Genomic DNA, 15,017 nt, shown 5'->3' on the forward strand with positions numbered 1-15,017 from the left:
GAGTATAAATTTTCCTCTGAACACTGCTTTGCTGTATTCTATACTGTTTGGTATATTCACTTTTTAAATTAGACATCTTTAAGTATTTTCTTATTTTCCCATTATTTCTTCTTTGAAACATTATGTGTGTTGTTTCATTCTGACATATTTGAGAAATTTCCAATTTCCCATTGTTGATTTTCAATTTCATTCTAGTTTGGTTGGAGAACGTATAATATATGATTTAAGAATTTGTATGGCTTTCCATATAGTCTCACTTGGAGAATTTTCCTTGCGTACTTGAGAATAAAGTGTACACTTCTGCTGCTGAATGAAGTGTTCTTGATATATCTGTTAGGTATATTTGGTTTATAGTATATTTCAAGACTTATTTTCTTGTTCATTCTCTATTTTTCCTAACAATTATTGAATGTAAAGAATTAAAGTTTCCAACTATCATTATTGAATAATTTATTTTCCTTTTTAATTATGTCACATTTTCTTTCATATATTTTTGTGGTATATTGCTAGGTGCATACATGATTATAGTTGTAATTTTTCTGATTATTTAACTCTCATAATTCAGAAATGTCCTTTGTGCCCGATAGCCCTTTCTTTGTGTGTGTGATGTTACTATAACCACTCCAGCTCTTTTTATCACTGTATGAATGGGTATGTATTTTTCATCCTTCTGTAGTCAACTTATTTTTTATTTGAATCTAAAATGTGTCTCTTCAAGAAACTGTGTAAATAAATTTTTTTTCATTCTTCCAATCTTTGACTTTTAATTGAGGTATTTAATCTATTTTACATTAAATATACTTATTTATAAGGTAAGATTTATGCCTAGAATTTATTTTTTATGCGTCACTTAATTTTAATTCTCTATAGTCACCATTGTTTCCTTATATTAAATGGTATTTTCTAGTGTATGATTTTCTTGTTTCTTTTACTAATATTTTCAAAAATTATTTTTTAATATTATTATATATTTATATTATTTTCTTATATTTCTAATTATATATAATATATAATTATATATCCTATTGAAATTAGATTGTATTAATATGAGTTACATTGTTTTCAATTACAATATTAATTTTAATGGCCAGGGCAAACCAATTATTTAAGAAAATAATTTTTAAAAATATTAGTAAAAGAAACAAGAAAACTAATGATACACTAGAAAATATTATTTAATACAAGATAAGGAAACAATGAGACTATAGAGAATTAAAATTAATAAGTGACACATAAAAATAGCAAATTCTGGGCATAAATATTACCTTATAACTATATTTAATTAATATATTTATAATTAAATATATATATTATATATAATTATATATTATAATTAATACATTCTAATTTCAGTAGTATGTATAATATATACTATATAGAGATTAGCCTGAGGAATAGAAATATATGTATATGTTCATATACATATATACTATATTCTGGGAGAGAACACACTGGCTCATAACTTATACTATATAGTATATATAGTATATATATATGTATATATACACACACACATATATATATATAGCTCTGATATAGATACATTTTCTCCACCCTCCCTTGTGCTATTTATTGTCAAACAAATTATATCTTTGTAAATCATAATCCCATAAGCATAGTTTTAAAATTACCTTTTATGCAATTGTCTTTGAAATTATGTAGAAGACTTTAAAATTATATTTATGCTGTATTTTACATTTACCTTTGTAATTATCTTTTTCAATGCTTTTTATTCCTTCAAGTGGGTTCAGTTACTGTTTATTTTTATTTTATTATTTGTATTTTATTTTATCCTGAAGAACCCCCTTTAGCATTTCTTAAGTGGCAGCTCTGCTTAACAAAGCTCATTCTCATTTTTTTTTTCTTTTCTGAGAATATCTTAATTTCTCTTTCATTTTTGAAGCACTTCTTTCCTTCATAAAGAATCCTTGTTTGACATTATTTTCCTTCAGCCCTTTAAATATGTCATTTGACTGCCTTTTCCCCCACCATTATTTCTGATAAGACATCAGCTGTTAATTGTACTGGGGAACCACATATTAATACATGATGAGGGTATTCTCTTACTTTTTTCATGTTCCTCTTTTTTAATTAGGCTTTTGACAGTTTGACTATGATGTATCTAGATACTGATATATTTAAGTTTATTCTGCTTGGATTTTGTTGAGGTTTTTGTATGTTGGGAAAAAGCTGAGTGTTAGGAGGGAAACTGAGGCAGGGCTTGCATAATGACCTCTGGAAATGTGTCTAGACTTGCTGGCGCCTTGCTTCTAGCCTTCCTAGGCTCCTATTCCCATTATCTCAAGTAGCAGAACATGCTCCATATAAATGCTAAACCGTCACAGCTGTGGATCATGCGCCTGCCCTTTATGACCTCCATATTCTCACCACCTGTTTCTTTGTTGGATCACCAATAAATACCGTGGGCTCCCAGAGCTTGGGGCTTTCGCGGCCTCCATATGGTAGCGATAGCTCTCCGCTGTCCCACTTTTTTTCTACTCTCACTCTCCTTTTTTCAATCTTTTGACTTCGCTGGACTTTGGCACCCCCACGACCTGGTGTTGGGTTTGATCACCCCAACATTCCTGGCTGCCCAATAGTGGGCGGCAAAGACCCCAGTGAAAGAACGCTAGAGCAGATGAAAGCGGAGAATGCATTTTCAAAGGACGCTCGACCTCTAAAAGAAGTTCGGTGGGAAAGCTGAGCGCTTGGAAGAAGGGGGCGGGGGGAAAGGGGACAAAGTAAAAGCAAGCAAACTTTCTGCTTATCTAAATTTCTTAAGGCATTTACTATGAAGAGGGGGAGTGAAAGTTAGTACTCAGAATTTATCACTCTTCAGTGCAGTAAAACAGTTTCGTCCATAATTCTCAGAACAAGGGACTCTATGGAGTTGGATGAATGGGGGAGAACTGGCAGGGTTTTGTTACCAGTATAAACAATCGTGTAGCCCGAAAGCACAGACCACTGACAACCCGTAGCCTTCCTGTCAAATAATCGTTAACCCAGTAACCCGTGGATGGCCCAAATGCATTCCATCGGTAGAGGCAACTGCTTTGCTAACAGAAGAAAGTAGAAAAACAACTTTTAGAAGAAACCTCATTGTGAGTACACCTCACCAGAGCTATCCTAAGTGAAAGAGCAAAAAAAGTAGCTTACCCAATCCTAAAGTATGTGGCTATTCTGTTCAAAAAGGTGATTTAACATTAACCGCTGAAAACTCCCTTAACCCAGCAGGTTTCCTAACGGGATTTAAATCTTAATTACCACACAAAAGTCCGACCAGACCTAGGAGGAACTCCCTTCAGGACAGGACTATAGAAGTTTCCAGGTGATTGAGGGGGAAAAAACAAAACAGGTATTCAGTAATTGATAGGCTTTTGTGAAAGTAGTTAGAAAAATGGCCCAACAATTGGTCTGCTCAAAGGTGTGAGCTGTTTACACTCCGCCAAGCCTTAAAGTACACACAGAATCAAAACTTTCAATCCTGACTCAAGAGCTTGCCTACACCCTGTCAAACGAATTTGCATTAAGAACCGTTTATGGGAATGCATCTTGACGGGGAAGCTGGGTTGTTAGGAAATACTCAGGAACCCAGCCCAGCTCTAGAAATCACCCCTGAGCACAAAGGCAATGTCGGGCACGCTGGTAAAGGACCACTAATATCCAGCCCAGACCCATTTCTTTGTGGTCAAGAAAGGCAGGAAAAACGGGTGCAGGACTGCTACATAGGTGAGCGTAACTAATCCGATAAGCAGAGGTCCATGGGTGGTTACGCACCCTGGAAAGGAATAAGCATTAGCAACATATAGGACACTCTAGGACTTAATACTCATGGGACAATGACTAGGGGTGCTGGCAACTTTTTTTTTTTTTTTCAAATGGGAAACGTTCCCTCCAAGGCAAAGACACCCCTAAGATGAATTCTGGAGAATTTGGCCCAAAGCGTATATACCTTTTTCCCTGTCCAACTCGAAGCAAATTAAAATAGACCTAGATAAATTCTCAGATAACCCTGATGGTTATACTGATGTTTTACAGGGGTTAGGATAATCCTTTGATCTGACATGGAGAGAGATAATGTTACTGCTAGATCAGACACTAACCCCAAATTAGACAAGTGCCGCCATAGCTGCAGCCTGGGAGTCCAGCGATCTCTGGTATCTCAGGTCAATGATAAGATGATAACAGAGGAAAGAGAACAATTCCCTACAGGCCAGGAGGCAGTTCCCAGTGTAGACCCTCATTGGGACGCAGAAGCAGAACATGGAGATTGGTGCCGCAGACATGTAACTTGCTTGCTAGGACTAAGGAAAACTAGGAAGCCTATAAATTATTCAATGATGTCCACTATAACACAGGGAGAGAAAGAAAATCCTACCGCCTCTGGAGAGATGAAGGGGAGGCATTGAGAAAGCATACCTCTTGTTCACCTGACTCTATTGAAGGCCAACTAAATCTTAAATGGTGTTTATCTCTCGGTCAGCTGCAGATCTTTTGTAATAGAGATGAGGAGCAGGCTGAATGGGACAAACAGGATTTAAAAAACACTGCTTTAGTTACGGCCCTCAGGCAAGTGAACTTTGGAGGCTCTGGAAAAGGAAAAGGCTGGGAAAATCGAATGCCTAATAGGGCTTGCTTCCAGTGCGGTCTGCAAAGACACTTTAAAAAAGATTGTCCGAATAGAAATAAGCTGCCGCTTCGTCCATGCCGCTTATGTCAAGGGAGTCACTGGAAGACCCACTGCCCCAGGGGACAAAGGTCCTTTGAGTCAGAAGCCACTAATCAGATGATATAGCAGCAGGACTGAGGGTGCCCGAGCCAAGCGCCAGCCCATGCCATCACCCTCATGGAGCCCCGGGTATGTTTGATCATTGAAGGCCAGGAGGTTAACTGTCTCGTGGACAGTGGCGCAGCCTTCTCAGTCTTACTGTCCTGTCCCGGACAACTGTCCTCCAGATCTGTCACTATCTTGAGGGGTCCTAGGACGGGCAGTCACTAGATACTTCTCCCAGCCACTAAGTTGTGACTGGCGAACTTGACTTTCCACATGCCTTTCTAATTATGCGTGAAAGCACCACTCCTTTGTTAGGGAGAGACATCCTAGCTAAAGCAGGGGCCATTATACACTAGAATTAGGAGAAGGAAAAAGGGTAAATATACATACAGACTCTGAGTATGCTTACCTAGTCCTCCATGCCCACGCAGCAATATGGAGAGAAAGGGAATTCCTAACTTCTGAGGGAACACCTATCACACATCAGGAAGCCATTAATTCTCCTTACCTCTGAGTCTACTTCCTCCGATCCCTGCCTAAAGATAATTCTATGCGGGAAAAGGATTTGCTTGTCTCTCCAGGTGACAATCAGTTGCCTATGTGGGTGCCCACCAAACATCTGAAGATCTATCATGGGCCACAGCATTTAGTGGAACCACCTGTACAGTGTGAATTGAAGGTTTGAGAAGCCTCGATTTGCTTTCTCTATGCCTTCTGTTAATCAGAAAAGGCCTGTTTATCATTATCGGTGGCCTCCCGGCTACAGCCACAGAAGTTTTTGCTTCTGTTTCGGTACATTTACTAACGGGCGGCGGTGGAGGGTATGCTTGTTTTTGCAAGAGATGAACGAACCTTGTGGATGCCTCAAGATGAGTACAACCATGGAACGGGAGACTGGAGGGGGACCCATGGATCCCAACCATGGACCAGGTTTCCCGAGTACGAGCCATGAGACAGTTGAATGTGAATACGAAGATGGAATGAGGACCGACCTGAGTCACAATGCTTAATGGACCAATGCTTCCTGACTCATCTCTCTACCCTGAATACAAGAGACCCTAACAGTTACGCAGGAATATCATCGCCCCTATTCAGCATGAAGTTACAGAAGACGGACCTTCATCCTTCTGCAACCCCTAGGATTAAGGGTCCCCTTGTAAAAGGGAAAGGGGGGAGGTATGTAGGAAGCATTCAAACCAGAGTGACTCCAGTTTGAATTGAATAAGGGCTAAGAAAGAAAGAAGGTGGGTCACTGACCAGCAATTAAGAGCTGCACAGCATGCAATTGCCTTGCTCAATTAAGAGGCCACCTCTTAAGCTAGTAATGATAGTAATATCATCTTTTACAAAAAAGGGGGGGCATGTTGGGGTAAAAAGCTGAGTTATGAGGGGGAAACTGAGGTAGGGCTTGCATAATGTCCTCTGGAATGTGTCTAGCCCTCCTAGCCCTCCTAGGCTCCTAGCCCTCCTAGGCTCCTAGCCCTCCTAGGCTCCTAGCCCTCCTAGGCTCCTAGCCCTCCTAGGCTCCTAGCCCTCCTAGGCTCCTAGCCCTCCTAGGCTCCTATTCCCATTATCTCAAGTAGCACAACATGTTCCATATAAATGCTAAACCATCACAGCTGTAGATAATGTGCCTGCCCTTTTGACCTCCACATTCTCACCACCTGTTTCTTTGTTCGATTACCAATAAATACCGTGGACTCCCAGAGTTCAGGGCCTTCGCAGCCTACATATGATAGTTATGGCCCTCTGCTGTCCTACCTTTTTCTCACTGTCTTTGTCTCAATCCTTTGACTCCACCAGACATTGTCACCCCCATGACCTGGTGTTGGGTCTGATCACCACAACACTTATGTGCAAATTTATGTTTATATCATTTAAGACATTTCAGCCGTTGTTTCTTTGAATATGTGTCCTGCTCCCTTCTCCTTACTACTACTGGCACTTCCTGAAGTGTACCACCATATGTACCATATCCATTAGGCACATGGTGGTGCACTTGACCTGAGGCTCTGCTTTTTTTTATTCATAAGTTTTTCTTTGTATTCCTCAGGCTAATCTCTATTGTACTATTGCCATATTTGCTATTTATTTTTACTATATCAAATCTGCTGTTAGCCCAACTGGGAAATTTTTTATAGCAGTTTCTGTACCTTACAATTCCAGAATTGCTATTTTAACCTATCTTGTAATTTCTATTTTATTGATCTCTAGACAGATTATTCTTTAAACAGTTTTCTTGATTTATCTAAACATTTAACATAGCTGATTTAAATTGCTTGTCTACTTAATCCAATATCTAGACTTCTTCAGTGACCAGTTTTTTTTACTCCCGCGGAATGAATCATACTTCTGTTTCTTTGTTTCACAATTTTTTGTTGTTAGCACTGGATATTTAAAACAACTTAATGTGACAACTCTGGAAATCAGATTTTTTACTTCCTCTCCAAGTTGCTGTTTGCCTGAAGATTTTCCTGAAATAATTCCATAAAGTCTGTCATGTGTGGCCAACTAATACACCTGCTCAATTCAGTAGTTTTCCACTTGGGTTTCTATAACAATACCTGAGGGTAATTTATTATAAACAATTTATTGCTCACTGTGGAGGCTAGAAAATCCAAGATCTAGATAGCATCTAGAATCAAAGATAGCACCTTCTAGATGTGTCATCACATGGAAAAATGGGTGAAAATACGTCTCTTAGACCTGTTTTATTTTTGGGACAGGGTCTCACTCTGTCACCCAAGCTGGAGTGCAGTGGTGCAATCTTGGCTCACTGCAACCTCCGCTTCCCAGGTTCAAGTGATTCTCCTGCCTCAGCCTCCAGAGTAGCTGGAATTATCAGTGCCCACCACCACGCCTGACTAAATTTTTGTATTTTTAATAGAGACGGGGTTTCACTATGTTGGCCAGGCTGGTCTCGAACCCCTGACCTTGTGATCCACCTGCCTTGGCCTCCCACAGTGCTGGGATTATAGGCGTGAGCCACCACACCTGGCATCTTAGACCTCTTTTATAAGGGCACACATTTCATTCATGAGGACACAGCTCTTATAATCTAATCAACTTCCAAAGGCCCCAATTCTTAATACCATTACTTTAGGGAATAGGTTTAACATATATGAATTTTCAGTGGACATATATTTACACCATAGCTGTAGTCATCCCAATGATTGAACTAATCCTTAGAACTTGTAAATCCATTGGCCTTTGCTGCAGAGACATTCACACACATACTAATATATATATATACACACACAACAAGCATACATATGTTGGAGAACACTTTTAACACTTTGACAGTTTTACAACCCTGTCTAAACATTCATCTCCTTGTGAAGAGCCTCAAAGTCAACAGAAGGATGGGAGATTATGATCTTCTGAGGTCTTTTATGAGCATGTGTGCAATTCTGTACTCTTGTGTGACCTTGTACAGCTCCAGGAATATATTAGAGCTTTGCAAAGCCTCACATGGACAGTTCATTTTCCAGACCATGTTTGATGTTTTTGGTTAGCCTCTTATTCAACCGATTTTACCATTTCAGGCTTCTGTGTTAAATAATTGCCCTTGATTTTTTTTTCAACAATAATCTGGGTGTGAAGTTTTTTTTTTTTTTTTTTTTTTTTTTTTTTTTTTTTTTAGTGAATCCTGAGTCAGGTCAAATAGTCATTCTGTGAATGAGGCTTTCCTAGGAAGCTGACATAGGTCAACTACTGAAAAGTTTTGTGAGGTGTCACTTATTGAAAGTTCCAAACACACTATGTCCTCTCGGCTGAGAGAAATACTAGCTGCTAGGTTTCTAGTATTTAGTTAACTTGGTTGCAGTTCTACTGATAACCAAGGTATCCGTGGAGCTTGGAGGGAAGGGAACCACTTAAATGCCAGCAAACTTTGTTATACCGAGATTCAGCTGTTCTTTTTTTTTTTCTTTTTTGCTTTTCTTTTTTTAAATCTTCTAGGACTGTTGTAAGACATTGGTAAATTTCCAAAGTTTGACAAAGCTCATATAGACAATACTTGGCAGTATTTTTGTTGCTGTTATGGAAAAGCGAATTGTTAACTCCATTCTGAAAATGCTTCTCAACTTTATACTTTAACAGAATCTTTCAACTAATATATCCCCTATACTGTTTTAAATACAATGTATTTTCTGTATAATTCCTAAAGTATATGCTATTTTAAGGCAATTTATTCCAACCATTATATGCTAGTGATATCTGTTACAGTAAAGTGAGAGAGGACAAGATATAAATCATTGATATATCTGTTTCAGCATGGAATCTAAGAAATATCAACTATGCTTCATTGGTTTGAGTATTCCAGTTCTCCAGCAATAAGAAAAAGGCTGTTAATACTGAACAACTGTTTCCATCTCCTCTTGGAATGATAATTTAAAAAATGTGCTCCCAAAGTGAAAAGCACTACTTTTTAAAGATTGCATTGTGAGACTGAAATGAGTTGTTACACCAAAATTAATAGCATGAAAGAAATGCATACATGTTTTTTAGAAGGAAGTAGGAGAGCACATATTGAGAGTTGAGGACAACATACACTCCACCAGAATTCAGGCCTGGCGCCAGAAAAATGAATTTCATCATTTGCTGCAGCTGTGTGCCACACATATCACCTCGACTGTTTCTCATTGGATTATTTCTCGGCAATCTTTAAAAAAAATTATCAATATTTAACCAAACAGACGACATCCATTTTCTCAATTCTGTCTCCTAATTACTTTCACCCTTAATAAATGGCACACAAAAATGCCTTAAGGCTATAAATCTGTAAGCACTAGATGATGTAGTAGTTCTGAATAATCTAATGTACTGGGCAGTGACTGCATTAAGGAATCGGAAAAAGATTAGGGCACAGATTGGAGGGCTTTATATCCATGTCTATCTGCATAATTATTAAATATTCTACTCATGAACTTCAAGGGACTTCTAAAAATTTAAATTAATGATTCATATCTTAAATGTAGTTGCTTTGTAATAATATAGCTAAAGCAGATGAAGAGAGAGCCTAAAAATAGGGACTTTTGTCTACATGGCTATAGGCAAATAAGCATTATTGTTTTTCTTGTTATCAAGAATAATAGCAGTTTGGGTGTAGAGTAAATTTTGAGTTAAATGTAACTGACTTCAATACAGTAAAATTTGAACAAAAATGGCTAAAAACACGAGAAAAATGGGGAGTGCTCAAGAAATATTTAGCAAACACCTATCACATGGAGGATGAAGGAGAATGGCATGATTCCTATCTTTGGGGGATAAATTTGGAGTAGAATACAACATATAAATTTGCCCCTCCAAGGTAGTCTCATTTGAAGACAACTTGATATAACCAATGGGTTATACATGTGACAATTATTGCATTCTTCTTCCTCCCTTAATGTTCCACCTGCGATTCACTTCCTGTCAACTGTACACTGTCCAGGGATGGACATAAAGTACTTTAAAATAAGCAAATAAGTAGTGACATGGATGGAACTGGAGGCTATTAAGAGCAATAACTCAAACAGAGTAAAAAGCCACACGTTCTCATTAACAAGTAGGAGCTAAACAATAGGTACACATGGACATACAGAATGGAATAATAGACATTGGAGACTCCAATTAGGAGTGTAGGAAGGGGGGCTGAGAGATGAAATATTACCTATTGGGTGCAATATACACTATTTCAGTCATGGGTACATTAAAAGCCCAGACTTTACCACTATGCAATATATCCACTGTATTAGTCTGTTCTCACACTGCTGATAAAGACATACCCAAGACTGGGTAATTCATAAAGAAAAAGAGGTTTCATGGACTCAGAGCTCCATGTGGCTGTGGAGGCCTCACAATCATGGTGGAAGGTGAGAGGCCACGTCTTACATGGAGGCAGCCAAGAAAGAATGAGAGCCAAGTGAAAGAGGAAAGCTCTTATAAAATCATCAGATCTCTTGAGACTCACTACCACGAGAACAGTATGGGGGGAACCACCCTCATGATTCCATATCTTGCACCACATACCCCCCCACAACACATGGGAATTATAGAAGCTACAATTCGGATGAGATTTGGATAGGAACACAGCCAAACCATATCATCCGCTAACACAACCACACTTGTAATTCTAAATATATAAAAATAATTTTTAAAATGAATATCAAGTATTACAAAATACCAACAAAACTACAGAATAAAAATTATTTATAGATTTAGAAAATAAGTGATAAATCTGATAAAGTATATTAAATCCTGAAAGTAGATATCAGATTGCAGAAAGAAGGGTGTGAATTTTAAAAAACACTGCAGAGATCATATAGAATGATTATTTTGGAAAACTTAACTGACAGATAAAGAATATGATATTTTGGGTAAGTTAAAGGGGTTAATAAAAGACAATCCAGGCAGCCTAAGCTATAAAGAGTGCAGCCATGCACCCTCTGCAAATCAATACATCAGATAATGGTAGGTAGTTGGGGATTTTTTGACTATTATGAGTTAAAAGATAAGAAATTTTAAGTTGCTTTATTGTGGACAGTTAGATCAATAGGTGCAGGTCATGTAAAAATACACTTGAATCTATTCTCGTATGAACTTAAAACTATTCAAAAATATAACGTGGCATTGCGAGAGAATGTTGCTTTCAGAAGGAGATAACATGACCTCAGGATCAGGTCATGACATTAACTGCAGTACAACTTTAATGCAACTTTCCTAGGCCTCAGATTTCTCCCTTGTGAAATTAAGATTGTTTAAAAATGAGTAATTATAATCCATGTGAAATCTCTCAGCAAAATTACTGACATATAGCAGGCAATTTGATAAACGTAGGCAATTGATACTTTGCCTCTTGCAAAGATTTTCAGTGAAAGTGCCAACTTGAGCTGTGTTGTTATGGATGGTAGAGAAGAGATTAAGGTGGACGACGTAAAATGGTCGCTTCAAACTTTAATATCTTATGACTCCTTTAGATGAAGTATCTAACATCCCAGAGACTTGCACACTGGCAAAAGACAGAGCTAACACTGGAACAAAGAACTATTGATCCGGAATGCATGCTCCTTTCGAATCATCATATCTAGGCTGTATACAAAGATGTTGTTCAGAGCAGATTGACAGTGAATTCTTTCAACAAAAAAGATCACAGTAGCTTAATTGATGAGCAAAGTTAGTCACCTTACTAGAAGGAACATTTTTGTTGAACTAAAACTGGAAAAATTGTTGTATTTTTAAAACGAATATTTTTTTTTGAAAATAAAGATCATGGATGTTATATAGTTCTTTCCAAAACTTAATAGTTTAATTATATGAACCTTTTTTCAGATTTATTAGGGATTTGGGACAGAAAAACATTTTTAAAAGGAGCAGGATTGAATGATGCTTTTGTTTCCATCTTCCTCCTCCTGCATATATATTATATATATATATACACACATGTACATATACACACACACACAAATACATATACACATATCTATACATGTATGTGTATGTGTACATGTGTGTGTGCATGTGTGTGTTAAATTTTAATTTACTGTTTTATGTAGTTTTCCAAAATTTGTAAGTCAGAAAGCTGGCTGGTTATGATAATTCTTGGGTATTTGATGATCTTTAGGTCCTTCAGTTATTGAGTATAATAATATGCCTTCATCCCGAGGATGAGGTCTTACGTTAAATGGCTTTGCAGCATTATCAGCTAGGGATTTTATGAACCTTCTTCTGAAAAATAGATTTAGAGCTTTCACCTAATAATTCAAATATAAAAGCACACAATCTTCAAGGAAAGATTTTTAAAATGCAAATACCCCACAGCAGTGGATCATGCAAAAAATGGACTACTCTGCAATGTTTGAATCCTTCTGCAAAGCAAAGCAGATTTCAGCCTGTGGGCTTTGATTTTTACCCTTCAACCATAGAACCCAGTCTACAATTACTTGTTACATGTGATATCTAGTTTCCAGTCACTAGTTAGGGATGGAAGTGATCAAAAAGAGAAATAATGCACATGGAGAAAAGAAGAGAGTTCAGGACAAAGAATCACCAGCATTTTGATGTTTAATAAAGGAGGAGATAGAAAAGGAAATGGACAAAAGGGTGAATATGACAGTTTGTTAATAAGGTGAAAGTGAGCAGCTGTCAAATGCTGATGAAAGATCAAATTGTACCAGGATTGAAATACATATATTGAATGGTAAAATGCACAGAAGTGTTGACAACATCAGAGTGGTTAGGTGGTAGGTAGTAGGAACTAGGAACTGATTTGGAAGTGAAGCCTGAAAAATAGTTACGGAAGTAAAGGCACCCGGTTAGGCGAATTTAATTCACGAAATTTGACTAGACAAGTTGATAGAGAAAAGACTGGAAAAACGACAGAGGGTTTAAAGAGGGTATTTTGTTTTGCTAAATGTTATTGGGAAAGGCAAGACCACATTTAAATAAGGATAGAAAACATTTTCATATGAAGAGAAAGATTGAAGAACGAGCAAAGAAAGTCTATAAGACACTTCAGTCAACACATCTTTAAGAAAATTTATAAGGCTTTTTGCTTTGCAGTGGAACAAGATTCCTGAAAAGATGGGAAAAAAAACTTACCACACATTAGAAAAAGTTAGTGAGAAATGGAGGAAAACTCTTAAAAAGACAGAAGAAGATTGGTGTCGGAGTTAAGGAAGAAACCAACTGATGACTTTAATTTCTCTGAACTATGACATGGACACAGTGTATTAACACAGAAGGAGTGTGAAGGAGAGCTTGAAGGTTTGAGGAGAGAAGCAAACATCTTAGATGGTTGATGAAAAACTATGAAAGCACATGATTTCTAGAACAAGGCGGCCTGGCAGCTTTGAGGTTTCATATGTGAATTTGTTTGTGGTTGGTGGTCATGAATTGATTGTGAAAACAATCTGTCCAGTTGTGGTTCTTCTGACCAACATTGCATTCGGAAGTGTGAGACGGAGCTGTGGGAGCAGAACGCAAGTGTCAGAGGATTAAGGGGTCTGTAAGACAGTAGCAGTTCTGATGGACCAGGAAATGCACAGTGAATAGGAAGGACATAAAGCCAGGAGGAGGCTGCATGATTCATAACTGGAGACCAAAATAAATTTAAGACCTTCTATGAATTTCAACATTTTTTTGTGTAAAGGATGGGAAGCTGCAGTCAGAGAGGGATAGGAGACTTGTTGATTTCAGGAGTGGAGCTGAGTAATATGTGCACTGTACTTTATTCAAAGTTGTCACAAGAATATCGTTAAAGATGAATAGGAAGAATTATCAATAGTTGAGGCTTTAGAAAGTTCAAGTCCCCTAGGATACTGGAAGAAGATGATGAAAAAATATGAAGCCAGATACTACAGAAACGAAAATGAATAACCAAGAGATAGGTGCAAAAAGATAATGAAAAGAGGGGAAGATGATGTAGTTGGGTAGTATAAACCTTGAAGGAGGAGCAGCATTGTTTTTCTAAGTTTATTTTTAATATAGAAAACAATTTCCTGGAAGGCATGTGGGAGTGAACAAGGAACTGACCTCACCTTCTGATCATAAAATGTGTGGAAAAAAATGGATGCATTTGAAACTGGAAGGAAATATTGATACAACGCTAACCAAACTACTTAGTTCTGCAGGGAGGATGGTTGATTTAAGAAATTGGTGTTAAGTAGATAAATGCAAAGCCACACACATAAAATATATTTCCTCTTATATCTGTCTGTAATTGCTGTGACCATTATATTTACCACTTATCGAGTATGTATTATGTGTCAGACATATTGCACATATTAAATCATTTAACTCTCACAAGAGAACTTGGAGGTGGTTCTTTTTATATTTTCAGAGAAGGGATATAAACCTCAGAATTTAAGTAGTTCTCCAGAGTCACTCAACAAGTACATATTATTCTAAGGCCCAAACTTAGGTGTGTTGAACATAATTCAACCTGAAGCCAACTTAACCATTCTGAGAATCAGTTTCCTCATCTGTAAAATTGGGACAAATTAACACCATCATCAGGGGGTAATATAAAAAGACAAATTATTTAGAACTCTGAGAAGCACACATTAAATGGGGAATATATGTTAGCAGAAATATAAACTGTCTCAATCAATTTTTAAAATTTGTACCTGGTTGCGTAAGACACAGGCTAAGACTTTCATTTTGGAAGCAAAAAAATACAATACACACTTACTTCTGATAAGTAGAAAGATAGCCTTAAAACAATAGCTAAGTTGAGAGAAAGGGGAAATAACACCTGCCATCC

At 37.4% G+C, this 15,017-nt stretch overlaps 1 annotated feature.

The window, feature by feature from the left end:
* Positions 2,383-2,583: a silencer, noted in NCBI's record as "peak6368 fragment used in MPRA reporter construct". NCBI's record gives its function as "represses an SCP1 promoter by STARR-seq MPRAs in K562 erythroleukemia cells {active_cell/tissue: K562}" and the evidence as "EXISTENCE:reporter gene assay evidence [ECO:0000049][PMID:32103011]".

The sequence above is a fragment of the Homo sapiens genome, chromosome 7, assembly GCF_000001405.40.
Source record: "Homo sapiens chromosome 7, GRCh38.p14 Primary Assembly".
NCBI classification, from domain to species: domain Eukaryota; kingdom Metazoa; phylum Chordata; class Mammalia; order Primates; family Hominidae; genus Homo; species Homo sapiens.